The 23,843-nt window shown below is 50.4% G+C and overlaps 2 protein-coding genes across 20 annotated transcripts in view, besides 6 other annotated features; one reads left to right on the top strand and one right to left on the bottom strand.

Moving 5' to 3' along the window:
* Positions 1,623-2,062: a silencer, noted in NCBI's record as "silent region_17223". NCBI's record gives its function as "represses an Ori minimal core promoter by ATAC-STARR-seq in GM12878 lymphoblastoid cells {active_cell/tissue: GM12878}" and the evidence as "EXISTENCE:reporter gene assay evidence [ECO:0000049][PMID:35858748]".
* Positions 1,623-2,139: a biological region, named in NCBI's record as "H3K27ac hESC enhancer GRCh37_chr6:43197001-43197500".
* Positions 1,640-2,139: an enhancer, noted in NCBI's record as "H3K27ac hESC enhancer chr6:43197001-43197500 (GRCh37/hg19 assembly coordinates)". NCBI's record gives its function as "activates a minimal SCP1, AML or CMV promoter by ChIP-STARR-seq in naive H9 embryonic stem cells {active_cell/tissue: H9 hESC(naive)}" and the evidence as "EXISTENCE:reporter gene assay evidence [ECO:0000049][PMID:30033119]".
* DNPH1 (2'-deoxynucleoside 5'-phosphate N-hydrolase 1) lies at positions 1,921-5,773 on the top strand. Of its 2 annotated transcripts, NM_006443.3 has the most exons (4): positions 1,921-2,141; positions 5,007-5,075; positions 5,259-5,369; positions 5,521-5,773. In NM_006443.3, the coding sequence occupies exons 1-4, from the start codon at positions 1,946-1,948 to the stop codon at positions 5,667-5,669; spliced, it is 525 nt and encodes a 174-aa protein (NP_006434.1). In that variant the 5' UTR covers positions 1,921-1,945; the 3' UTR covers positions 5,670-5,773. The 2 variants fall into 2 exon arrangements, with proteins under 2 accessions (NP_006434.1, NP_954653.1); NM_199184.2 differs by having other exon boundaries at positions 5,259-5,773.
* Positions 2,123-2,312: a silencer, noted in NCBI's record as "silent region_17222". NCBI's record gives its function as "represses an Ori minimal core promoter by ATAC-STARR-seq in GM12878 lymphoblastoid cells {active_cell/tissue: GM12878}" and the evidence as "EXISTENCE:reporter gene assay evidence [ECO:0000049][PMID:35858748]".
* Positions 6,628-7,207: an enhancer, noted in NCBI's record as "active region_24596". NCBI's record gives its function as "activates an Ori minimal core promoter by ATAC-STARR-seq in GM12878 lymphoblastoid cells {active_cell/tissue: GM12878}" and the evidence as "EXISTENCE:reporter gene assay evidence [ECO:0000049][PMID:35858748]".
* CUL9 (cullin 9) overlaps positions 6,815-23,843 on the bottom strand; it is a 42,392-nt gene continuing 25,363 nt past the window's right edge. For 14 of the 18 annotated variants that reach the window (XM_017010589.2, XM_011514423.3, XM_047418475.1 and 11 more), the window contains 15 exons: positions 18,108-18,253; positions 17,835-17,964; positions 17,490-17,689; positions 16,076-16,323; positions 14,899-15,244; positions 10,803-10,943; positions 10,491-10,655; positions 10,081-10,244; positions 9,624-9,717; positions 9,012-9,086; positions 8,761-8,871; positions 8,506-8,623; positions 8,005-8,138; positions 7,234-7,307; positions 6,815-7,152 (listed from right to left, as the gene is read on the bottom strand). In XM_017010589.2, coding sequence (XP_016866078.1) covers positions 6,957-7,152; positions 7,234-7,307; positions 8,005-8,138; positions 8,506-8,623; positions 8,761-8,871; positions 9,012-9,086; positions 9,624-9,717; positions 10,081-10,244; positions 10,491-10,655; positions 10,803-10,943; positions 14,899-15,244; positions 16,076-16,323; positions 17,490-17,689; positions 17,835-17,964; positions 18,108-18,253 — 2,342 coding nt within the window. In that variant the 3' untranslated portion in view covers positions 6,815-6,956. Of the gene's footprint in view, positions 7,153-7,233; positions 7,308-8,004; positions 8,139-8,505; positions 8,624-8,760; positions 8,872-9,011; positions 9,110-9,623; positions 9,718-10,080; positions 10,245-10,490; positions 10,656-10,802; positions 10,944-14,898; positions 15,245-16,075; positions 16,324-17,489; positions 17,690-17,834; positions 17,965-18,107; positions 18,254-23,843 lie in introns of those variants that run through there. The other 4 variants (XM_011514426.2, XM_047418481.1, XM_011514428.2 and 1 more) reach the window with 4 other exon arrangements.
* Positions 8,043-8,580: an enhancer, noted in NCBI's record as "H3K4me1 hESC enhancer chr6:43190560-43191097 (GRCh37/hg19 assembly coordinates)". NCBI's record gives its function as "activates a minimal SCP1, AML or CMV promoter by ChIP-STARR-seq in naive H9 embryonic stem cells {active_cell/tissue: H9 hESC(naive)}" and the evidence as "EXISTENCE:reporter gene assay evidence [ECO:0000049][PMID:30033119]".

Here is a 23,843-nt window from a genome sequence, read left to right as displayed (position 1 = left end):
CAGGATCATCTGGAGCCTTGTGAGCTACTGTGAGGTTTTCAGTTTTTACCCCAAGTGAGATGGGAACCACTGGAGGGTTTTGAGCAGAGGAGGGTCATGACCTAGATCACTCAAGCTGCTGAGTGGAGAGCAAACTGTAGCAGGGAAGGGCCAGGGGAGGTGTATAGAGAACCCTTGACATAAGTAATTCCATCTTAGAAAGACTCCATCACTGGGCACATTCGCTTATGCCTGTAATCCCAGCGCTTTGGGAGGCTGAGGTAGGGGGATTGCTTGGGTCTAGGAGTTTTGAGACCAGCCGTGGAAACATAGTGAGACCTCGTCTCTACAATTTTTTTTTTTTTGAGATGGAGTTTCACTCTGTTGCCTAGGCTGGAGTGCAGTGGCGTGATCTTGGCTCACTGCAACCTCTGCCTCCCGGGTTCAAGCGATTCTCCAGCCTCAGCCTCTGGAGTAGCTGGGACTACAGGAGTGTGCCACCACGCCTGGCTAACTTTTTGTATTTTTAGTAGAGACGGGGTTTCACCGCGTTAGCCAGGATGGTCTCGATCTCCTGACCTCGTGATCTGCCCACCTCGGCCTCCCAAAGTGCTGGGATTACAGACATGAGCCACCGAGCCCAGCCAATTTTTTTTTTATTAGCTCAGCATGGTGGCACGTGCCTGTAGTCCTAGCTACTCAGGAAGCTGAGGTGGGAGGATTCCTTGAACCCTCAAACTTGAGGCACGAGTTTGAGGCTGCAGTGAGCAATGATCGTGCCTCTGCACTCCAGTGTGGGCGACAGGGACCTTGTCACCAAAAATAATAAATAAATAAATAAATAAAGTTTTAAAAAACTTCATCTTACATTTCAAAAGGCATCAAGCCAACAGGGTCCAGATGTTCGCCTAACCAATGGAGACAACACCCAACCAGATAAGGGCATCACCCTTTACTATAAGTCCTCATCAGAGGACTCAAGGACCATAAAATGATCAGGACTTCAGCAGCTAGACACGGCCACCTTAACAGACCGAGTCTTGCTATCACTCGTGCCCAGCACCTGGTGTCTGCCTCTGAAGGCTCTGCCCAAATCAAGGACTCTTCCTTGCAAGCTCTTGATGACTATCCCCATCAGGCCGGGACTCTGTCCACAGCACTCTCCTTGGACTGGTTCGTTAACCCCTTTTCTCTTGATGTTAAATGTTCTTGTGTTTGATGTGAAATTTTAACCTGTAACATTTATATCCTTACATATAATACTATGGATGGTTTGCAATACAGTCTGACTTGTGGAGTGGCTCCAGCTTGCATGCCCGCGGCTCTGACTACCGAGTGAACAGGTGGTCCTAAGGAGAACTGACTTCTTGGGAACTCCGTGTGACGCCTAGCTTTTGTGATTGAAATAGCATCAGTAAAAACCTGATCTTGTGGACAGACACAAAGGTGGGTGGACCTGGTTCTGTCTGACCTTGAGCAGCTCACGACATGTGGACACCTGTTAGGAGGCTGTGGAGAGCCCAGAGGAGGCTTAGACCAGGGTGGTGGCCCTGTAGGCGGTCGTGAGATTTCAGATTTGGAAGGACGAATCCACACGAGTTGTCAATGGATGGGACGCAGAGTTTGAGAGAAAGGGAACGATCCAGATGACTCCGAGGGTCTTGGGCCTGAGCAGCTGGGAGGATGCAGCTGGGGAAGACGGCGGGGAGGAGGGGAGCAGAAGCGGGTGAGGTGGGGAAGCCCTCGAGTTCTGCCTGGACAAGGTCAAGTTAAGGTGCGTGTTAGGCATCCGAACGTCAAGTCCAGGAAGGGTGTGTTCCCGAAAGGGTCCCGGCTGGATCCTCCCAGTTCGTCGTCCCCATTCCACAGGTGTGGACTCAGCAGCCGGGCTCTGCGCTGGGCCGGGCGGGGTCACGTGGCCGCGGGCTGGCGCCCCCTGGCGCCGGAGAGCGCGGGCGGCTGGGGAATGGCTGCTGCCATGGTGCCGGGGCGCAGCGAGAGCTGGGAGCGCGGGGAGCCTGGCCGCCCGGCCCTGTACTTCTGCGGGAGCATTCGCGGCGGACGCGAGGACAGGACGCTGTACGAGCGGATCGTGTCTCGGCTGCGGCGATTCGGGACAGTGCTCACCGAGCACGTGGCGGCCGCCGAGCTGGGCGCGCGCGGTGAGGCCCTGGGGCCGCGGGACGCGGGGACGCGGGCGCGGACCTGGCTGGGGTGGCAGGGACCCGGCCTGTCCGCCCCCCCGACCCCCGGCAGCTGCGCTCCCGGCGCCCGGAGCCCGCCCTCCTACCCCGGTGCTCCATCCAGCGCCCCAGCCCGAGAAGGAAACGGGCCGGGGCTCGGGCTGCGTGGGTCCCAGCAAGCCTGCGGGTGTAAGGCAGACTCAGCATTATCTTGACCTTTGGTTCCTTCTTGGAGAACTCTGTCTTCAGCTGCTTTCAGAGCGTTTGTAGGGTGCAACAGAAAGAAGGTAGATTGGGCTGCTTTGCTTGGGCTCAGTTCCCACCTCACCCGCTGGAATCTTTTCCACCACCCAACACGAAAGGTATCCTCCTGCCTCCCCACCAACTTTTTTTGTTTTGTTTTGTTTTGTTTTTGAAACGGAATCTCACTCTGTCGCCCAGGCTGGAGTGCAGTTGCGTGATCTCGGCTCACTGCAACCTCGACCTCCCGGGTTCAAGTGATTCTCTTGCCTCAGCCTCCCGAGTAGCTGGGACTACAGGCACGCGTCACCACACCCGGCTACTTTTTGTATTTTTAGTAGAGACGGTGTTTCACCATATTGGTCAGGCTGGTTTCGAACTCCTGACCTCAGGTGATCTGCCCGCCTCGGCCTCCCAAAGTGCTGGGATTACAGACAGGAGCCACCGCCCAGGGCCTGCCTCCCCTTTTTCTGTGAAGACATCAGCACTCTTTTAGACCTGGCTGACCCCAGTTCTCACTATTACCCTCTCTCACATTTTTGTTTTGTTGATACAAGGGCCTCTCTGTCGCCCAGGCTGGAGTGCAGTGGTGCGATCATAGCTCACTGCAGCCTCGGCTTCCTAAACTCATGATCCTCCAGCCTCAGCCTCCTATTAGCAAGGACTGCAGGGGCACGACACCATGCCTGGCTCAAAATTTTTCTGTAGAGATTGGGAGTCTCACTATGTTGCCCAGTCTGGTCCCGACCTCCTAGCCTCAAGTGATCCTCCCGCCTCAGGCCTCCCGAAGTGCTGGGACTATAGATGTGAGCCCCCATGCTGGCCTCATATTCTCTTTCAGGCCATTATTGTGTTCTGCTCCTGGCTGCTGGGTTTTTCTTTCTCTTTCTATTTATTTAGTTATTTATTTGGAAACAGTCTTGTTCTATTACCCATGCTGGAGTGCAGTGGCAAAATCTCAGCTCACTGCTAACCTCTGCCTCCCGGGCTTGAGCAATCCTCCCACCTCAGCCTCCCAAGTAGCTGGGACTACAGGTGTGTGCCGCCATACCTGGTTAAGTTTTGTATTTTTTATAGGGACGGGATTTTGCCATGTTGGCCAGGCTGGTCTTGAACTCCTGAGCCCAAGTGATCTGCCTGCCTCAGCCTCCCAAAGTGTTGGGATTACAGACATGAGCCGCTGAGTCTGGCTGGATTTCTCTAAAGCATATTTGATGTGCTGGTCTGGAATCTTGCAGATCCTTCCAGTTTGAAAATTGTATCTTGAATGCTTGTGCTTCTGCTCAGAAAACCTTAAGTGGTTTCCACTTATCCTACCCAAGAGCAGACCCACAATTTGTGGGACCTCATGCAATTCTGGGAGACCTCTTTAAAAAGACAAAAATCACAATACAAAGTTGCTGATGGTTTGGAAAGGGCCTGTGCAAGTGGAGGACCCTGAAGCTTACAGCTCATTAGTTCATGGTATATCCAGACTGCCTGGTGGCTCTCCAGGTCTTTAGTGTCATCTGAGGGAGCCTGTTAAAAATGCAGGTTCTGATCATCTGGGATAAAGCCTTCGAATATGTACTTTTTTTTTTCCCCCAAGACAGAGTCTTGCTCTGTCGCCCAGGGTGGAGTGCAGTGGAGTGATCTCCGCTCATTGCAACCTCCTCCTCCCAGGTTCAAGCAATTTTCCTGCCTCAGCCTCCCGAGTAGCTGGGATTACAGGCGCCTGCTACCACGCCTGGCTAATTTTTTAATTTTTAGTGGAGATGGGGTTCCACCATGTTGGCCAGACTGGTCTCAAACTCCTGACCTCGTGATCCTACCGCCTTGGCCTCCCAAAGTGCTGGGATTACAGGCGTGAGCCACCGCGCCTGGCCCGAATCTGTACTTTTTCTTGTTTTTTTTAAGATGGAGTTTTGCTCTGTTGCCCAGGCTGGAGTGCAGTGGTGCGATCTCAGCTCACTGCAACTTCCGCCTCCTGGGTTCAAGTGATTCTCCTGCTTCAGCCTCCCAAGTTGCTGGGATTACAGGTGTGCACCACCACACCCAGCTAATTTTTGTATTTTTAGTAAAGATGGGGTTTCACCATGTTGGCCAGGCTGGTTTTGAACTCCTGACCTCAAGTGATCCACCCGCCCCAGCCTCCCAAAGTGCTGGGATTACAGGCATGAGCCACCGCGCCTGGCCCTGGAATCTGTACTTCTAACAAGCTCCCCAGTGGTCCTACCCTGATGCGGTGGGCTGAGCCTCACTGTCCTGGAAGATAACATTTAATCAAGCTAAGACCCGAGATCCCTACCTTCTGGGCCTAGGATGCCTCTCCTACTTTTGGCTAAGTGCCCATGCACCTTTCCCTAATCAATGTCATCCACAGTTAGTGCTGCTGATGTTCCTCATTCGGCCCTAATCACATGTCCCACCTTGCATAGGGTTGAATTTTTCTTTTTGTGGCTATTCCATTTCCTCGCTGCTTTGATGAGATTGTCATGTTTGGTCAGGTCATCTGGCACAAGGCTCCCACCCTCCCTGAGCAGGGTGGGTATGGACATACAAGGGCATAGGAGTTACTGGGAGCCAGCATGAGGCATGTCCTTGACCAGCTTTCCCTCAACACAGGGGAAGAGGCTGCTGGGGGTGACAGGCTCATCCATGAGCAGGACCTGGAGTGGCTGCAGCAGGCGGACGGTGAGTGGCGCTCCCTCCTTCCAGCACCTAACTCCTCTGGAGTGCTGGGTTCCCCTGGACATCCCAGCCTCCACACCTAGAAGGGACTCCCAGAGTTCCCTCCTCACCACAGCCACACCGTCGTCTTCCTTATGAACCTCAAGTGCCCCCAATGCTGAGGCTTCCTCTCATCTTTCCTCCCAGTGGTCGTGGCAGAAGTGACACAGCCATCCTTGGGTGTAGGCTATGAGCTGGGCCGGGCCGTGGCCTTTAACAAGCGGATCCTGTGCCTGTTCCGCCCGCAGTCTGGCCGCGGTGAGCACCCCAAGCCTCCCTCCTGGCTTTCTATGGACCCAGCCCTCAGCTCCTTCCCTGGTGGGCTCTGAGCACCGCGCCTCTCCCAAGGGGTAAGGGAGCTGTGAGGGTGTGGATGGGAGGCAGCTTCACCTTTCCCTGCCCTTTCCAGTGCTTTCGGCCATGATCCGGGGAGCAGCAGATGGCTCTCGGTTCCAGGTGTGGGACTATGAGGAGGGAGAGGTGGAGGCCCTGCTGGATCGATACTTCGAGGCTGATCCTCCAGGGCAGGTGGCTGCCTCCCCTGACCCAACCACTTGACTTAATCTCACTTTCTTAAATTCTTCTATTCTCAGACACTGCTCTAGTACCATTCCTTCCTCTTAGCCCCAGGAGCAAATTAAAAGGTACAGTTAAAATCCTAACTTTCTGTCTTGTGTGAGTCATGGGGGTGGGGCAGGTCCTCAGTAATACCCTTTCCTGCCACACTTCACTTCAAGATAGATGCTTTAGAAATCTCTAGGCCGAGAGGAGGACAACTCCTAATGCCCTCAAGCCCCCTCCTCCCCAGGAACACTTGGGAGGAGGGCCGGGCGCGGTGGCTCACACCTGTAATCCCAGCACTTTGGGAGGCCGAGATGGGCGGATCACGAGGTCAGGAGATCGAGACAATCCTGGCTAAAACGGTGAAACCCCGTCTCTACTAAAAATGCAAAAAATTAGCCGGGCGAGGTGGTGAGCGCCTGTAGTCCCAGCTACTCAGGAGGCTGAGGCAAGAGAATAGCGTGAACCCGGGAGGTGGAGCTTGCAGTGAGCCCAGATCACGCCACTGCACTCCAGCCTGGGCAACAGAGCGAGACTCCCTCTCAGAAAAAAAAAAAAAAAAAAAGAGTTGGGAGGAAGGGCTGGGCACAGTGGCTCACGCCTGTAATCCCAGCACTTTCAGAGGCTGAGGCGGGCGGATCACCTGAGCTCAGGAGTTCGAGACCAGCCTGGCCAATGTGGGAAACCCTGTCTCTACTAAAAATATAAAAATTAGCTGGGCATGGTGGTGCATGCCTGTAATCCCAGCTACTCAGGAGGCTGAGGCAGGAGAATCGCTTGAACCCATCAGGCAGAGGTTGCAGTGAGCCGAGATCACACCATTGCACTCCAGCCTGGGGGACAAAAGTGAAACTCCATCTCAGAAAAAAAAAAAGAGTTGGGAGGATGGTTGCTCCTGTGGGTGGCCATCCCTCTCTCTGTCTCCTCTGAACTGGGCTGGGGCTGCACGTGGCCCTTTCCATGCCAACCTTCACTTCCCTTTATCAGCTTAAGTCAAATGAATCTGCTCTGAGCCTTCTCGGAGGATAGAAGAGTCCGGAGGTCTAAAGGAAACATAAAGATGAGGGGTGTGGGTAGATATGAGGCCAGGGCAGTGGCAACTTGGCTGGCCCCTGGTGAAGCTGTCAGCCTGCTCCCAGAGATGTGTGTGAGAAAGAGACCTTTATTCAGCAAACAGGAAGCACTACAGACGCTGGGAATCCCCCTCCCTATGACAGGGGCAGCTCCCGCCCCCTCAGCCCCGTGACTCTGGGGCTGCTCTAGGTGTTTCCTGCATCTGCCCCCTCAGTCATAGGCCTCATCTTCATCCTCTTCCTCATCACCAAAGAAGAAAGTCTCTTGGTCCAGGTTCTCAGACTCATCGTAGGAGAAGCTGTCATTGTCCAGCTCCTCATCAAACTCATCCTGCTGCCACTCGGGCACATCATCCTCATCGTCTTCCTCCTCCTCTTCTGCCTCTGGCCCTGAGGAGGCCTGGGGCCTAGGGAGAGCCACCACACTCAGCCCAGAGGAGGCTGCCATGTCCCACTGCCTCCTCCATGGCTCTGCCCACCCCACTTACTGACTGCCAGGCATGTTGGGTCCTTTTGCCTCCCAGGCCTCTACTGATGGACTCTGAAGACCAACCCGGAAATCCTGGTGAGCAGACAGAAGGATTTGAGAAGGAGGTAGAGGGCATGGGGCCTTTGGACCCAGCATTCCTTCCACTGATGCTCTGGGAGGGCCAAGCTCCTGCTAGGACTGCTCCCCTCCCAGCACAGCACTTCATGAAACACTGCCTTTGTGAGTTCACCCACAGATGGTCTCCAGGGATACGGGGTACCAGGTGAGGCACACGACCCTGTGCTTAAAGAGCTTACAGAATCTATGTCTTTTCTGCCCATGTGACTTACCAGTCAGTAAGCAACCTGAGGACAGGACTCACAGTTTAGACTCAGCATCAGTGCATTAGAGCTGGAGAGAGCCTGGGAGAGCCCTTGCTCCAGTGACCCCAATCCCCTGATGCCCACTCTTAGGATTTCAAATCCCTATCTGGGAAGTACAGTCTGGAAAAGTTCCCCAAGTGATTCTGATAGGCACCTGACCAAATACCCTTGATGTGGGCTAGCCAACCCCTTTATTTTGTAGGAATCCCCAGGAGGTGAAGTGATAGGGTCCAGCAGCATCAGGCAGGTTGGCCCAAAAGCCGGGATGTGCGCCCAGGTCTAACATCCATTCACCCGCTTTGCTGCCTTTCCTTCTGGACTCGCCCCAGGGCAGGGGCTGTGCTGGGACAGGAGGACCTCAACTCCCGCAGAATGCAGGAGCAGAAGGGGTCTGGGCCGGGCAGTACCTGGGCAGAATGCTGCAGGATGGCAAGCAGCCTCTCCTGGATCCGCCGGAGCAGCTCCATGCCCGTGCTGAGGCAGTCGGCCCGCAGGAGGCGCAGGGAGGAGGCCAGGTCTCTGCACCGCAGCAGGGTTTCCTCTGCAGAGGGGGCAGGCACAGAGGCTCCCTCCCTTCTCATTCTCATCCATTCCTTCCTCCAACAAACACCTATGGAACGTCTACCAAGCACCAGGTGCAGCTCTAGACATTCTCATGAAGCTCCCTAGGGGAGCAGGGTAAAGACCAGAAACCAAGAAACATCCACGAACATCTGCGCCCTTGGGCACCTTACAATGTAGGCTTTCGACCTGAGCTTTAACAGCCAGGCAGTGAGAAGGCCATGAAGAATGAAGAGGAAGAGGAGAGAGGGAAGGTAAGGGTGCCGCTTGACCTGTCTGGGAGGGGCCGGGCTGTGCAACAGAGGGGAGGAGGCAGGAGGAGGGCCTGGCTGGCAGGGGTGGCTCACCCAGGAGGATCTGCAGGGCATTGGTGTGCAGCTCCAGGTTCTCTGTCTGCTGCTCCACCACATCCATGTACTCTGCGTCCTGGCTGTAGAAGCTGTACACGCAGGCGTAGGCCAGCACCTGCAGGGGCTCCCATCAGCTCTCCCGCCTGCCCTCTCCTCATTCCCTTCACCCAGGCAAGTCCGATGAAAGCAGCCAAGCCCCCCAGACCCATTTGGCACACCCCTCCCCTGCTCTCTTCCCCCACCCGCTACCACCTTCCGAGCCTGCTCCAGTCCCTGGCAGGCATCATTGAGGAAGGTGAAGGATCTGGGCGGGGGCACTTCATGGATGGCAGACACCCGGTTCCGCAAGTTCACAGCAAACTCCTGTGTGGAGGAAGGTGTATCAGTACCAGCACAGGTGGCGCAGCACCACCTGCCCGGTCAGACCTTCAGCCCACCCCCCTCCACCCCACCACCCCAACCTGCTTCTGCAGGCATCTACCCGCTGTTTCCTCCCGACTCACCCGCGCCTGGTGATGGAAAGTGCACCTCTCATTATAGTCCTGAAACCGCTTCTCCTGGCGAGCTGCCTTGCTTACCTAGCAAGGATACGTTGGGAGGGCTATTGGGTGTTTTGTTTGGACAGGAGGGAGTTAATAAGTGGAAAAGCCAACATTCACGGAGGCCTTTCTACACCTCCCCCGATTATCTTCATTCAGTCCTCATGACTGTGTGGAGTAGGTCATATTATTCACCCCTTTTGCAGAGGCTGTTGAGGCTTGGAGAAGTAAATGAACTTGCTCAAAGCCACATGCTAAGCAGCAGAGCCAGGCTCTAAATGCAGGGTCCCTGCTCTTTCCTGCTCTGCCCTGCTGCCTTCTGAGAGTGCCCAGCCCTCCCCAGCCTTTCTGTAGCCACCTCGGTATGAGAAGTCCTGTTCTGGAGCTGAAGGTCCCTGTGAACAGACTTTCCAGCATCTGCAGGCCCAGGTGGCTCTGTCTTCCCCACAGTGAGCCTCTATCCCAACAGCTAGAATGCTGCACTGCACAAGGAGCCCTGTCTGCCCAGGACCTGGTAGCAGCACCCCTCCCCGACGGCTCTGGGCCTCTGCCCTCCCCTAGTGCCCAGCGCCTTACCATGGCAGAGCAGTTGTAATAGTCTTTGTGATTTGGCTTCCAGGACTTGAGGCAGCGCCAGCAGAATCCATGGTTACATTTGGCACAGGTCATGCTATGGAGGAAGCTGGCTGGTCAGGGACTCCTGCCTCTGGGCAGGGGTGTGCCAGGAATGCCAAGGGCCCAGATGTACCGCTGTTGATGCTGTGGCCTCTGCTCCTGCCCTGATAGTCTCCTTAGTCATACCCAGCCCTGCTGAATGCACCTCTGCTTTTGAACTCCCCCAGTCAGTGTGGACTTACGAGTGGGAGAAGGAACATTAAGATCCAGGAAGTCACCGTGGAGGCTGCCACGTGAGGGGCGGCTGAGGAACCACCCTCTTTTGCTGAGCTTTACACTAAGCCCGTTCCCCCCTCCTTCTGCCAGGCCTCCTCCCCCCTCCTTGCCCTCTGGCTCCCCACAGTACCCCCCTTCTTACTGCAGGCACCCCTCGTTCTTCTCGATGGGAGCCTGACAGCTGGGACAGCGCTTGGAGATGAGCTTGGCCAGGTGCTTGCTCTGCGCCTCCACGCTCATGCCGTCATAGTAGCCACCGTCGTCGACCCACTGAGACATATGGCCACAGCTAGCAGGGTAGTGTGCCTAAGGCAAGAGGGCATGGTGGGGACACAGCTGAGCCGTGAGGGCAGCATGGCTGGTGTGCACAGGAGAGAGGGGAGCAGGCACAGATCACATTTGGAGGGCTCCAGGAAGAGGAACAGAGCTCAACTGGGTGGCAGAGGCTGAGGAAGGACAAGTCACAGTCTGTGTGTGTGGCGGGGTGGGGATATTAAGCAGGGAAGGAGTGTGAATCCTTGCTCAGGGTCAGGGCCAGTGTGGGGCTCCCACCTCAGGGAAGCTACAGTTGAAGCAAGAGGCCCAGCCACACTTGGAGCAGGTGGTCCCACAGCCCAGGCCCTGGCGGCACAGGATGCGGTCGCAGCCCTGGGGGTTGGTGCACCAGGTCAGGTTGGAGCAGCTCTCCACATAGCCACGCAGGAGCGCCTTCTCATACTGTGGAGACGCAGGTGCCACGAGGTGAGGGTATGGCTCTCCAGGATGCCACACCTCCAGGCCCCCAGCACCCCATAGCTCAGCCCACTCCCTGGGGCACACTCCTTTGGCTCTGCACTGGAGCCTCTCTCAGACGAGAGGGGATACCTTGGAGATGACCTCTGGCGAGGAGACGATGGCACGAATGAAGGCTCCGGTGGGCTGGGCGGGGCAGTCGGCAATGGGGCAGGTGCAATTCAAAACAAGGTTCTGCTCGATCCGAGTTGTCAGGTACTCATTCCAGCAAGACTGGGAGGGACAAAAGGAGGGGCTGCTCACAGACAGTGTGGGAGCAGCACAGGGGGAGTGTCCTGGTAACTAAGCTAGCGTCCCTCCTTCCCTTCCCCTCCACTACAACGTGGAAGGCCAGAAACAAGCCTGCCTCTAGATCAACCAATGCTGACTCCTCTCTCCAGCTTTGCTGAGACTGGCCCAAATTACAGTTGTCTTTGAGGATGGGGTGGGCTGTGTATTTGCCTAATCATAATTACTGTTGGGATGGACAAGGAGGGAATGGGTAAAAATAATTAAGAAAAAGGAGAACGATTCAAATTCTCAGAAAGATATGCAGAGAGCAGGAAGGTCCGAGAGAAAGGAGGCCTGGGAAATGGGTTGCCTGGGTGGCTGACAACACAGCTCTGGTCTCTCCTCCCAGCTCCAGTGGCTTATCTCCAATGACCGTCCGGATGCTCCTGTCTCTGACTTATGCCTCCAACAGACCCAGCCTCTTCTCTACAAAACTGACTTGCCCATTGCGTCCCCCAAACCCTGATCAACTTGCACCACTGTCCCCCTCGTCACCAGTGTTGGAACTTTCATATCGTTCTCTTGCTCCCATGTCACTCCCCCATCCTAAATCAGGCCATTATCCCCTCATCCCTAAACCACTGTGAGAGCCTGATCCATGGTCTCCTCTCCCGGTCTCTCCCTACACCATCCATTTGGTCTATGCACGAGCAGCCGTTGCAGCCGTCTGAGCCTCCTACAATACTCCATGAGTGACCCCTGCCTCTCACACTGCCTATGGCCATGCCTTCCAAAATGATGGGTCTAAACCCTCAGGAGACCGTGTGTCTGTGATATCAAAGCTGCAGCATAAATTTGAAGCACCTGACTAGGTCATTTTTACTCAAAGTACCAGACCAAAGTAAACAAAACCCTTTCTGCATTGAAACAAACCCAAAGTTGGGAAATTGAATGCAAATTCTTACATTTTTGAGATAGAACAGGGAAAATTTTCTCTGAATTCAGACCCTATTCTTACAGGCACACCAGTGCCTCAGGGTCCCCCTCTGCCCTGGCATCTCAGTCTGGGGACTCCCAGCTGCTCTCATGACTACTGTCCAACCCAAGTGGTGGGGCTCACCCTGGGAGCTGTCCGGCTGCTTCTCTTGCATTGCTGTTGTGCCACTCAGCTGTGACCAATGCTGCACAGGCTCCTCCTTGCAGGGGCTTTTCAATCAGCCTGTTCATCTGCCTGGTTTTCAGGCCCCTTGTCTCTCTCTCTCTCTCTCTCTTTTAAACAAAGTCTCGCTTTGTCACCCACACTGGAGGGTAATGGCACAATCATGGTTCACCGCAGCCTCAATCTCCTGGACTCAAGCAATCCTCCCACCTCAACCTCCTGAGTAGGCAGGACTATAGGTGTGCACCACCATGCCTGGGTAAAGTTTTTTTCTATTTTTTGTAGCTATGGGGTCTTGCTGTGTTGTCTAGGCTGGTCTCAAACTCCTGAGACCCCCCGTCTCTGTATCTTTACAGGCTTGGTTCCCTGGGTCTGCTTCTTTCTCCTTGGGTAAGGCCTGCCAGGCCTCTCTGCTTCATTCCAAATTCAAAAATCCACTGTCTACCTGCCAGTTCCACACAGGTGTCCAACAAGCAGCTCAAACTTCACAGGGCCACAACAGAGTAAAGATGACACATGCCATCCACCCAGGTGCTCAGGTCAAAGCACAGGAACCATCCTTGATTCCCCTGTCTGAAGCCCCTACATTTAACCCACCAACTCCCGTCAGCTCCACTTCCAAATGTGTCCCAATCCACCCTCTCTCATCGCCACTGCCCCAGTCCAAACTACCACCATCTCTTGTCTCTCGTACAACAGTCACCAAATGGGCCTTCCTGCTTCCACTCTTGCTCCCTCCAAGCCTTTTCTCCACACAACGGCAGAAGCGATCTTTTAAAAAATGTAGGGCCGGGCGCAGTGGCTCACGCCTGTAATTCCAGCACTTTGGGAGGCTGAGGTGGGTGGATCACGAGGTCAGGAGATCGAGACCATCCTGGCTAACACAGTGAAACCCCGTCTCTACTAAAAATGCAAAAAATTAGCCGGGCGCGGTGGCGGGCGCCTATAGTCCCAGCTACTCGGGAGGCTGAGGCAGAAGAATCGCTTGAACCCGGGAGATGGAGGTTGCAATGAGCCGAGATCGCGCCACTGCACTGCAGCCTGGGTGACAGAGTGAGACTCCATCTCAAAAAATAATAATAATAAAATAAAAATAAATAAATAATATAATAAAAATAAAAAATGTAAACCAGATAATATCAATATTCTGCTTAAACCCACCATGGCTTCTCATAAAATAAAATCCACTGTCAGGCTGGGTGTGGTGGCTTATGCCTATAATTCCAGCACTTTGGGAGGTCAAGGCGGGAGGATTGCCTGAGACTGCCAAAATTCAAATCCTGACCTTTGGCAAATTACTTCACCTCTGAGTGTCTCCCTCTGTCATGTAAAATGGGAATAACAAAAATACCTACCTCATAGAACTAGTATGAGAATTAAGTAAAATAATGCATGTAAACAGCACAATGCCTGGCTCAGAGTGAGCTCCCATCAATATTATTAGCTCTCTGGTCATTTCTTGCTGGGATTTTTTTCAATACCTCATTTAGCACCCAGTGCTATGCACATAAATCCATGAGAAATATTTGTTGAATGAAAAAATGAAAGTGTAAAGGAAATAATTAAGAACCTGGGGAAAAGGGAGCATAAGCAACTATGTGAGAGGAGAAGCCAGAAGCACAGCCAAAGGGAAAGAGAAAAAGAGAATACACACGCATGCACGTGCACACAAGCACATGCAGACACGTCTATCACCCACTACTGGGGAAACGCTGTTGGCAGAAGCAGCTGGAATTCATGGCAACCAGGAGTGCCCCTCCTGCTAAACTGAAGTGTTTGGGCTTGGCACCAGTTCTAAAGAGCTGTGAGGCAGGAATATCGGACTCAGTGCTCCAGGTTCTCTGTACCTCAGCCCCACATTTTTTATTTTTGAAGATGACTCACTCCCCAAATGCAAGCTTCTGTGTCCACTATATAGAAGCAAGCCTATAGAGCAAGAAGACCCTGAGGCAGGGTCTCACTCTGTCCTTCAGGCTGAAGTGCAGTGGCGAGATACTGGCTCACTGCAGCCTCCGCCTCCCAGGCTCAGGTGATCCTCCCACTTCAGCCTCCCAAGTAGCTGGGACTATAGGTGTGCACCACCATGCCCATCTTATTTTTGTATTTTTTTGTAGAGACGGGGTCTTGCCATGTTGCCCAGGCTGGTCTCGAACTCCTGGGCTCAAGCAATCTGCCTACATCAGCCTCCCAAAGTGCTGGGATTATAGGCATGCACACTACCTCACCAGGCCTATTTTTAAAAATTTTTGTATTAAATGAGAGTATATGATAAAAGCAGTGATAGTGCACTGAGATGTGGGGACTTAAATGGTAATAAGGGCAACCACAAACTAGAGTCATCACCAATCTACTAACACTTTTGCAAACACTTCACAAAGTGTCTTGACATCTATTTTACACGTATATCTCTTAGTTCTAACTTGGCTGATAATGGGAATCCCGTGAGGAGGCTTTAAAACTTCCTGTAGATTTCTCACCTCCAGAGATTCTGGTTTAATTAGTCTGAGGTATCGTCTGGGCATTAACACTTATAAAAGCTTCCAGTGATTATAATATGAAGGTCAGCTGGAGCACCATTGGTATATATCGCTGGATCCCAACCACCACCCTTTAGAGTGTCAAGGCAGGTGGTACCACTTACAGATGACAAAACTAGTTTAAGAAGGACTAAGAGACTAAATCCACTATTGCCCAGGTGATGAAAATGGCAGTGCTGGGCTAGAACCCAAGAATTCCCAAGGAATTTTGTTAGGGTAGGGCAGAAAGCCAGGGGCAGGAGCAATGCTGGTGGGGCCTCACCTTACAGCAATAGTGCATGCAGCAGAGAGAGGGCAGGTCGTCGTCACACCCCAGGGGGCTCACACAGACGGGGCAGTGGTCAGGCCGTACGGGTACAGCCTGAGCCTGGTGTACGCACAGCCCAGCTGCCAGCAGCAGTGGCTCAGGGTCCTCACTGTAGCTCTGCAGCAGCTGTTCAGCGCCCCAGTGGGAATGAGCCAAAAGGTGCTGAGCGACATCTGGCTCTAAGTTCAGCGTCTCCTGCACCTGACGCACCGTCTGCTTCATCAACCCTTCTACTTCCTGGGGGCTCATGGTGCGGCCTGCAGGCAGCTGTAGAGATGCCAGGGTAGCCACAGCTTCTGGGCTTGTGGGGAGGGAAGAGACAGAAGTCAGTATTCCTGCCCTGCTATCCAGCCTACTAACTGAACCCCACCTGGCCCCCAGCTCCCTCTTTGAGCATACTTGCTCGCTTGCCTAAGCAGCCTCAGGATAACCACCCAAACCAACCGTCAGAGCAGATCCTCCACAGAAGCACCTGTAAATGTCAGGGTGGGGCTGGCTGTTGCAATGACTGGGGACAAAATAGGTATCTAGGGGTCAGGGTGCTAAGAGACCAATAGCTGATGGGACAGTCCCACTGTAGGTCTCACCCCAAATGGTGGCAGCACCTGTAGTGAGAACAGGAGTCTCCATCCTTACTGCTCAAGTGTGGTCTGTGGACCAGCAGCACAGGCAGCACAGAGAGCTCTGCTGTTAAATCTGCATTTTAACACTGGCGCCATGTTGAGGTTTGAGAAAGATTACTCGCGATAATTCACTTTACACATGATGCAAACAGCAGGCATGAAAAGCAGGGCCATAACAGCTTCCAATGAACATTAAAAAGCTTTAGGGGTGCTGGTTGATTAGAGAAATCCTATGGCAAATTCCTCTGTAGAACAAACTTCCTGAAAGTTTGTATATTTAACTGAGTAGAGTACATAGTTAGCACTCAATACATATTTGCAGGCCTCTGATTGGAAAGGGGTGGTGGTGCTGGGAGGGTCAATAAAAACTACCAAAGTCAGGGAAATAACAGGGATAGGGAAAAGGGGATCAGACAAAGAAAGAAGGGAAGTGTTTCTCCACAAGGGATCTTGGCTTTGGCATGACCACCTCTCCCGCCTCACTGCAAGGGGTCAGGTGCAGTGGCTACCTGGGCTTGGAGGTTTCGCTCTGGCTGCCACAGAAAGGGACATCTGCCTGACCCCGGCAGGGCCCCATGGGCTCTGGAGCGGCATACATCAGGATCTGGGGCCGGTCATCACGCCGTTTCACGTAGCCCTGGCCTAAGAGGTGCAGGATGCAAGAGAGGACATCTGTACTGGTACAGGCCACACCCCCAGCAACAGTGTGGCCCAGGGTTCCAGGAGGATTTGGACCCTTCTGCCAGGCCTCCAGCACCTGGATAGGAGGAAAGAAACAAGAAGTCCACTTTTATGTAGGGAGCAGGCTGCTGGGCTCAATGCCCAGCTCTGCCACTTATTTTTCCCCCCCTTTTTTTTTAAGAGACAGTCTTGCTCTGTCACCCAGGCCAGAGTGCAGTGGCCTGATCACAGCTCACTGCACCCTCAAACTCCTGGACTCAAGTAATCCTCCTGCATGAGCCATGGTGTCTGGCAGCTCTGCCACTTACTAGCTGTGTGATTGTGGATTAGTTACTAAGTTTCTCTCTTTTTTTTTTTTCCCAACAGTCTCACTCTATTGCCCAGGCTGGAGTGCAGTGGCACCATCTCTCACTGCAATCTCTGCCTCCTGGGTTCAAGTGATTCTACCGCCTCAGCCTCCCAAGTAACTGGGACTACAAGTGTGCACCACCACGCCTGGCTAATTTTTGTATTTTTAGTAGAGATGGGGTTTCATCATATTGGCCAGGCTGGTCACGAATTCCTGACCTCAAGTGATCCACCCACCTCAGCCTCCCAAAGTGCTAGGATTACAGGCATGAGCCACCGCGCCCGGCCACTACTAAGTTTCTCATACTTCACTGTTCTTATCTGTCAAATGAAATAAAATAACATTTCTAGGATTGTTGTGAAGATTAAATGATGACTTTTTTTCTTTTTGAGACAGAGTCTTGCTCTGTTGCCCAGGCTGGGGTACAGTGGCAGTCTTGGCTCACTGTAACCTCCGCCTCCTGGGTCAAGCAATTCTCATGCCTCGGCCTCCCAAGTAGCTGGGATTACAGGCATGTGCCACCATGCCCAGCTAATTTTTATATTTTTGGTAGACACAGGGTTTCGCCATGTTGGCCAGGCTGGTATCAAACTCCTGGCCTCAAGTGATCCGCCTGCCTTGGCCTCCCAAAGTGCTAGGATCACAGATATGAGCCACTGTACCTGGCTGGATTAAATGACTTAATCATGCAAACTCTTAGCATAGGGCCTGGTTCATGGTAAACACTCATGCCTTATCTTTATCTGCTGTCTATCTGCTCTGTCAGGAACAGAAAACCCAGATGGAAATGTCACCCTACAGAAGTCTTATATTGAAAGAGTTCACTGTGTTCATCCCCAATCCCAAGCATGACTCCCTCCCTCCGCCAACTTCATGGTCCCCTCTCTGCCTACCAGACAAACCAGCTGATCAATGTGGAGGCCCTTTTCCCCATGGGCTTTGAGAATACGAACAAGAAGACAGCTCAAGAGATTCCTCTTCTGTTCCAGGGTTCGGCCTTCATCCTTCTCTACGTTCAGGTATGCCTGGGGAGGTATCAGCCACAGGGCCTCCCCACTGCGCTGGGGCCCAGGCTCATGAAGCCGCAGCACACCTGGAACCCGCTCCCGGTCAGGTACCAGAGGAGGCAGAGGGACAGATGAATGGGGACTAAGATGACCCCATTCTCACAGTCCCCCCATCTTGAGGGCGACCCCCCGACCAGCAGCAGAGGCTCAGCCCGGCCCCCAATGACCTACCCCCGTGTGGAAAGTCCTGGCCCTCATGCAGGGTCAAAGGGCCATTCCCTGAGGTGAGGGGCACGAGTGCCTGGAGCAGCAGCTCTGGGGAGAGGTCAGAATCCTTCAGCAAGGTCTCTACTGACACCTCCTGATGAGCAGAAACGCCCAGTCAGGAGTCAAAGGAAAGAAAAGGAAGAGGGGAGTAAGGATGAAGGAGGAACAGGGTTTAGGAGGAGAACAGCGACAGATAAGGTAGCAGAGAAGGCAGAGAGAGGCTAAGGGCTGAAGCACCTCTGTCTGATTGAATTTCAGCAGCAGCCACATCTGCACGGTGGACACATGCAGTATCTGCTTCCCAAACTGCAGCTCAGCCCGGCCCAGCCACGTCCACTGCAGTCGCCGATGTGGTCCCATGTCCAGGACTGGATGGTTCTGACCTAGGCAAGTGTCAAGGAGAAGGGTGGAGACACAGAATGGGCGAAACAAGGGGTTTAGGGGTTGAGGTGTCAAGCTTTGCTCCTACTAGTCCCTATGGGGAGGAGGGCCCCAGCATTTTCAGACAGAGAGATACCTTGTCAAGCTTCCAGATCTCAGCCTTCCCTGCGCCTGCCTCCCTGATGAGCCACGGGTATCTAGGAGCCCATCCCTAGACCCAGCGCCTAGCCCTGAGCCAGGCAGGTTCCATGCAAAAACACCAGAGAGAAAACACTTGCATTTTGCCCTCAAGGAGCTCACAGTTTTAAAGACCCACTGGGCTGGATCTCTTCCTCCTCCTGTTTCACAGCTCAGGCAAGGTGAGCCTGAGACATCTGTTCATACTGGAAAGCAAGGAAGCTGTCAAAGGGAGAGTATTAAAGGGACTAGGAGCCTGCCTGAGAGATGCTGTCTTACCAAAGATGGGACAATTTGAGAATCCAAAAAAAAAAAAATCCACCTGCAATGTGTGATGGAACCACACAAAATATTTTAAAATCTGTGAGTTCATAATGATATATTTTTAAAAGACCTCATTGGTTTTATTTAAAAGTTACTAGAGAACCACCATATTATTTTTAAAATGAGTTAAAAATAATTGGAAGTGGAAACAATCAAGCCTTTCCTGTATAAACCGGACTTCAGGGTAGATAAACAGTTAGTGAAAGGGTTTCTCTTGAAAGCATTCCAGCTAATACATGAAGAAGGAGTGACAGAACTAGATATAACTATTTCAAAACCCCTAATGAAATGATAGACCTAAGCAATGGTAGAAATGCCTGCCTGGTGAAAAGCTGATGGAAAATTACATGTAATGTATAGACAAGACTGACACACTGAAATCCATTGATCCATCTCAACATCACAAAGGGAGACAGGCTGAACCTGCCTCCTGGTGGAAGGACACATACCACCAATGAAGTGTTCTTGCCTGAGAAATCAAACCCAAATCTGAATAAGCCTCTACACCTACAAATCAGTTTTCAGGAAATAAAGGAGACAGAGGAATTATGCTTGAGGACACCACGTGAATGCAATCAGGAAAATCCAGCCTGTGAATGAATAACCCACTTTCCTCCAGAAATAATTGCAAGGAGGATAAAATGGGAGGTGGAAACCTATAGAGTAAGGGAGATGTAAGATAATGCAACCAAATGCAATGCGTGGACCTTGTTTGGATCCTCACTAAACAAAATAACTAACCAAAAAACCCCAAGGCAATCAGGGAAATATGAGCAATGACTGTATACTTCATACAAGGAACTGCAAATTTCTAAATACTTGATAACTGTAGTATCCTTTTTTTTTAAACAAAGAGTACTTATCTTTTAAATTTTGGGGGTGGGGAATAGATGGGGGTACAGATTGAAGCAAGATTGGCCATGAGCTGATATATGTTGGAGTTTAGTCTGTCTACATTTGTATATGCTTGAAATTTACAATAAAAAGACTTTTTAAATGAGGGTGAAAATAACCCTTCTCAGACAAATAAAAAAACTGGTAGGGTTTTCCACCAAACTCCTCAATGAAGACACTTTTTTTTTATTTGTTTTTGAGATGGAGTCTCACTCTGTCCCCCAGGCTGGAGTGCAGTGGCACGATCCCGGCTCACTGCAACCTCCACCTCCCAGGTTCAAGCAATTCTCCTGCCTCAGCCTCCCAAGTGGCTGGGATTACAGGCGTGCACCACCAGGCCTGGCTAATTTTTGTATTTTGAGTAGAGACAGGGTTTCGCCATCTTGGCCAGGCTGCTCTGAAACTCCTGACCTCAGGTGCTCTGTCCGCCTCAGCCTCCCAAAGTGCTGGGATTACAGGCATGAGCCACCGTGGCTGGCCTGAAGATACTTCTAACAGATGTATTTTAAAAAGAAGAAGGACCAAGAGGCAAAGGAAACGGTGACTAAAGCAATTGGCATGGTGGCAAATGTAAATATCCCTGAATAAATAATAATAATGACAATGTTGGAAGTTAAAAAAAGATAATTCTAAAATATGGAACAACAGTAATAACTAATATGGGAGTTAGAGCTGGAGTTAAGATTTTCTAAGGTCCTTTTATTGTTCAGAAAGGTAGGAAGTGATATTAGCCAATCAATGATGCAGGTTAAAAATACAAGGGTATTCAGTTATAGAAATAGAATGCCTAAGTTCTAAAACTGATATAGACAAAAAAGAAATGTTTTAAAAACAATCAATCAATCCAAAAGAAGAAAGAAAAAGATAGCACAAAAACCCAGGGTAGAATCATATGTATATAGGTGTTAAATTTATTCTTCTTTAAATATAAGAAGGGTAAACAAAAACACAAAATAAGAAGTTAGAAACAGTCAATTAATTAATAATAAATTAATTCATTGAGTTTATTATTTATGAATTTATTATGAATTTGTTATTCATAATAAATAGGCTAAAATTGACATCTTAAAAAGAGATTGTCAGGTTGAACAAAAAACAAATTCTAGGTTTTTATAAGACATGTGCCTAAAACATTAAGGGTATGGCAAAGTTAAAAGCAAAACAATCCCAGGGGAAATTCTAACAAAATTAGAATACTGGCATGATTTTAAAGTATCTCCCCCGACAGACTGCTTATTAATTGTAGCAAGGAGAAAAAATATTAACTATATGAGTGGAGAAAGCAAACAATCTCTTGGCTAGGTTGACAAAATTAACAGATAAAGAAGGGGCAGATGAAAACTGTGTGCTCCAGGGTGTAAAGCCTTGGGAAGTACATGCCTGCCACATACTTAGTATTTTGCCTGGGAATGCATAACCTGAATCTAATCACAAGGAAATATCATACAAACTTAAAACAAGGAACCATTTTAAAAATGTCGGCCAGGCATGGTGGCTCACGCCTGTAGTCCCAGACTTTGGCAGGCCAAGGTGGGCAGTTCACAAGGTCAGGAGTTCGAGACCAGACTGGCCAACATGGTGAAACCCCATCTCTACTAAAAATACAAAAATTAGCCAGGCATGGTGGTGGGCACCTGTAATCCCAGCTACTCGGGAGGCTGAGGCAGGAGAATTGGCTTGAGCCTGGGAGGCGGAGGTTGCAGTGAGCTGAGATCGCACCATTGCACACCAGCCTGGGCAACAGAGCAAGCCTCCATCTCAAAAAAATAAATAAAAAATAAAAACAAAATAAAATAAAAAGTACAAAAGGGTCCGGATGCGGTGGCTCATGCCTGTAATCCCAGCACTTTGGGAGGCTGAGGCAGACAGATCACAAGGTCAGGAGTTTGAGAACAGCCTGGCCAATATGGTAAAACCTTGTCTCTACTAAAAATACAAAAAAATTAGCCAGGTGTGGTGGCACACGCCTATGGTCCCAGTTGCTCTGGAGGCTGAGGCAGGAGAATCACTTGAACCCAGGAGGCAGAGGTTGCAGTGAGCTGGGATTGAGCCACTGCACTCCAGTCTGGGCGACAGTGCAAGGCTCTGTCTCAAAAAAAAGAAAGAAAGAAAAGAAAAGGACCGTATTCTCCAGAAATCTCAATGTCATAAAAGACAAAGAAAGAAAGGATGGGGAACTGTTCCAGATTAAAGGAGACTAAAGAGACATGCCAACTAAATGTTAACAGGTGATCCTAGACTGATCCTGTCCTGGACAAAAAAATGAAGTCATAGAAAACATTATGGGTCAGTTGAAAAAATTAGAATGGCCGGGCACGGTGGCTCACGCCTGTAATCCCAGCACTTCAGGAGGCTGAGGCAGGCAAATCACGAGGTCAGGAGATCGAGACCATCCTGGCTAACATGGTGAAACCCTGTCTCTACTAAAAATACAAAAACAAAATTAGCCAGGCGTGGTGGCAGGTACCTGTAGTCCCAGCTACTTGGGAGACTGAGGCGGGAGAATGGTGTGAACCCGGGAGGCAGAGCTTGCAGTGAGCTGAGATCACGCCACTACACTCCAGCCTGGGCGACACAGTGAGACTCCGTTTCCAAAAAAAAAAAAAAAGAAAGAAAGAAAGAAAAAATTAGAATATGGAGGCTGGGCACAGTGGCTCATGTCTGTAATCCCAGCACTTTGGGAGGCTGAGGCAGGAGTTCGAGAACAGCCTGGCCAACATAGTGAAACTCTGTTTCTACAAAAATTAGCTGGGAGTGGTGGTGCACACCTATAGTCCCAGCTACTTGGGAGACTGAGATGGGAGGATCACTTGAGCCTGGGAGGCGGAGGTTGCAGCTAGCCACCTGAGATCGTGACACTGCACTCCAGCCTGGATGACAGAGTGACACCCCCTCTCAAAAAATACAAGTAAAAGGACAAATTGTATACTTTGAATGGTTAAAATGGCAAATGTTACGCTAGATATATTTTACCATAATTTAAAAAAAGGTATGCAAAAGATTAAGAACTTCTCTCCATGCAAAAACAAAAAGCTAAAGATAGAAAAATATAAACTGGAAAGCCAGTAACCAAAGAAAGCTGGTATACTATTAATACCAGAGAAAAACAGACTTCTAGAGAAAAAGCTTTATTAGAAAGAAAGAATGTCACTTCATAATAATGTTTCATTGACTCTGGAATTTCTAAACCTGCATGGTCCATCATAGTAGCCATTAGCCACATGTAACTATTTAAATTTAAACTGATTACAGCCGAGCACAGTGGCTCACGCCTATAATCCCAGCAATTTGAGAGGCCAAGGCAGCTGGACCACCTGAGGCCAGGAGTTTGAGACTAGCCTGGCCAACATGGTGAAACCTCGTCTTTACTAAAAATACAAAAATTAGCCAGGCATAGTGGTGCACACCTGTAATCCCAGCTAATCGGGAGGCTGAGTGAGGCAGGAGAATTGCTTGAACCCAGGAGGCGGAGGTTGCAGTGAGCCAAGATCAAGCCACTGTACTCCAGCCTGGGTGACAGAGTGAGACTCTGTCTCAAAAAAATTAAAATAAAATAATAAACTGATTACAATTAAATTATTTAGTTCCTCAGTTATATTAGCCACATTCCAAGTACTTAATTGCCACCAATGACTATCATACTGAACGGTGCAGAAAAGAATTTTTCAATCATTGCAGAAAGTTCTACTGGATAGCACTGTTAAACTATTTTAACCTTCTAACAAAATAGCCAAAAAATATATATACAGTTAAACCAGTATGATTAGCGGTTTTAAAAAATTCACCATCATAGTGGTAGATTTTAGCACACCTCTCTCAGTAGTAGATCAAGTAGACAAAAACTAGTAACTTTACAGAAGATGTGAACAAAACAATTAACAAGGTCAATTTGGTGAAATATGTAGAATCCAGTTAAGAATACACATTCTTCTTAATCATACATGAAACAGGTAAAATATGACCATCTACCAGGCCATAACGAAGTCTCAATAAACTGCAAAGATTCAGAATCATAGAAACCATGCTCTTTGGCCACAGGGGAATGAGGTTAGAAATATAAAACAAAAAAAAATTAAACAAAGAAAAACTTGTTTGGAAATTAAAATATATATTCTTCTGAAAAACAAAATAAAGAAATAATAATAGAAATTTAACAATTCTTAGAACTAAACAATAATAAAAATAATACGTAATAAA

The sequence above is a fragment of the Homo sapiens genome, chromosome 6, assembly GCF_000001405.40.
Source record: "Homo sapiens chromosome 6, GRCh38.p14 Primary Assembly".
Lineage (NCBI taxonomy): Eukaryota > Metazoa > Chordata > Mammalia > Primates > Hominidae > Homo > Homo sapiens.
Note: the sequence above shows the minus strand (reverse complement) of the source record. Positions and strands in the feature narration are given on the sequence as shown.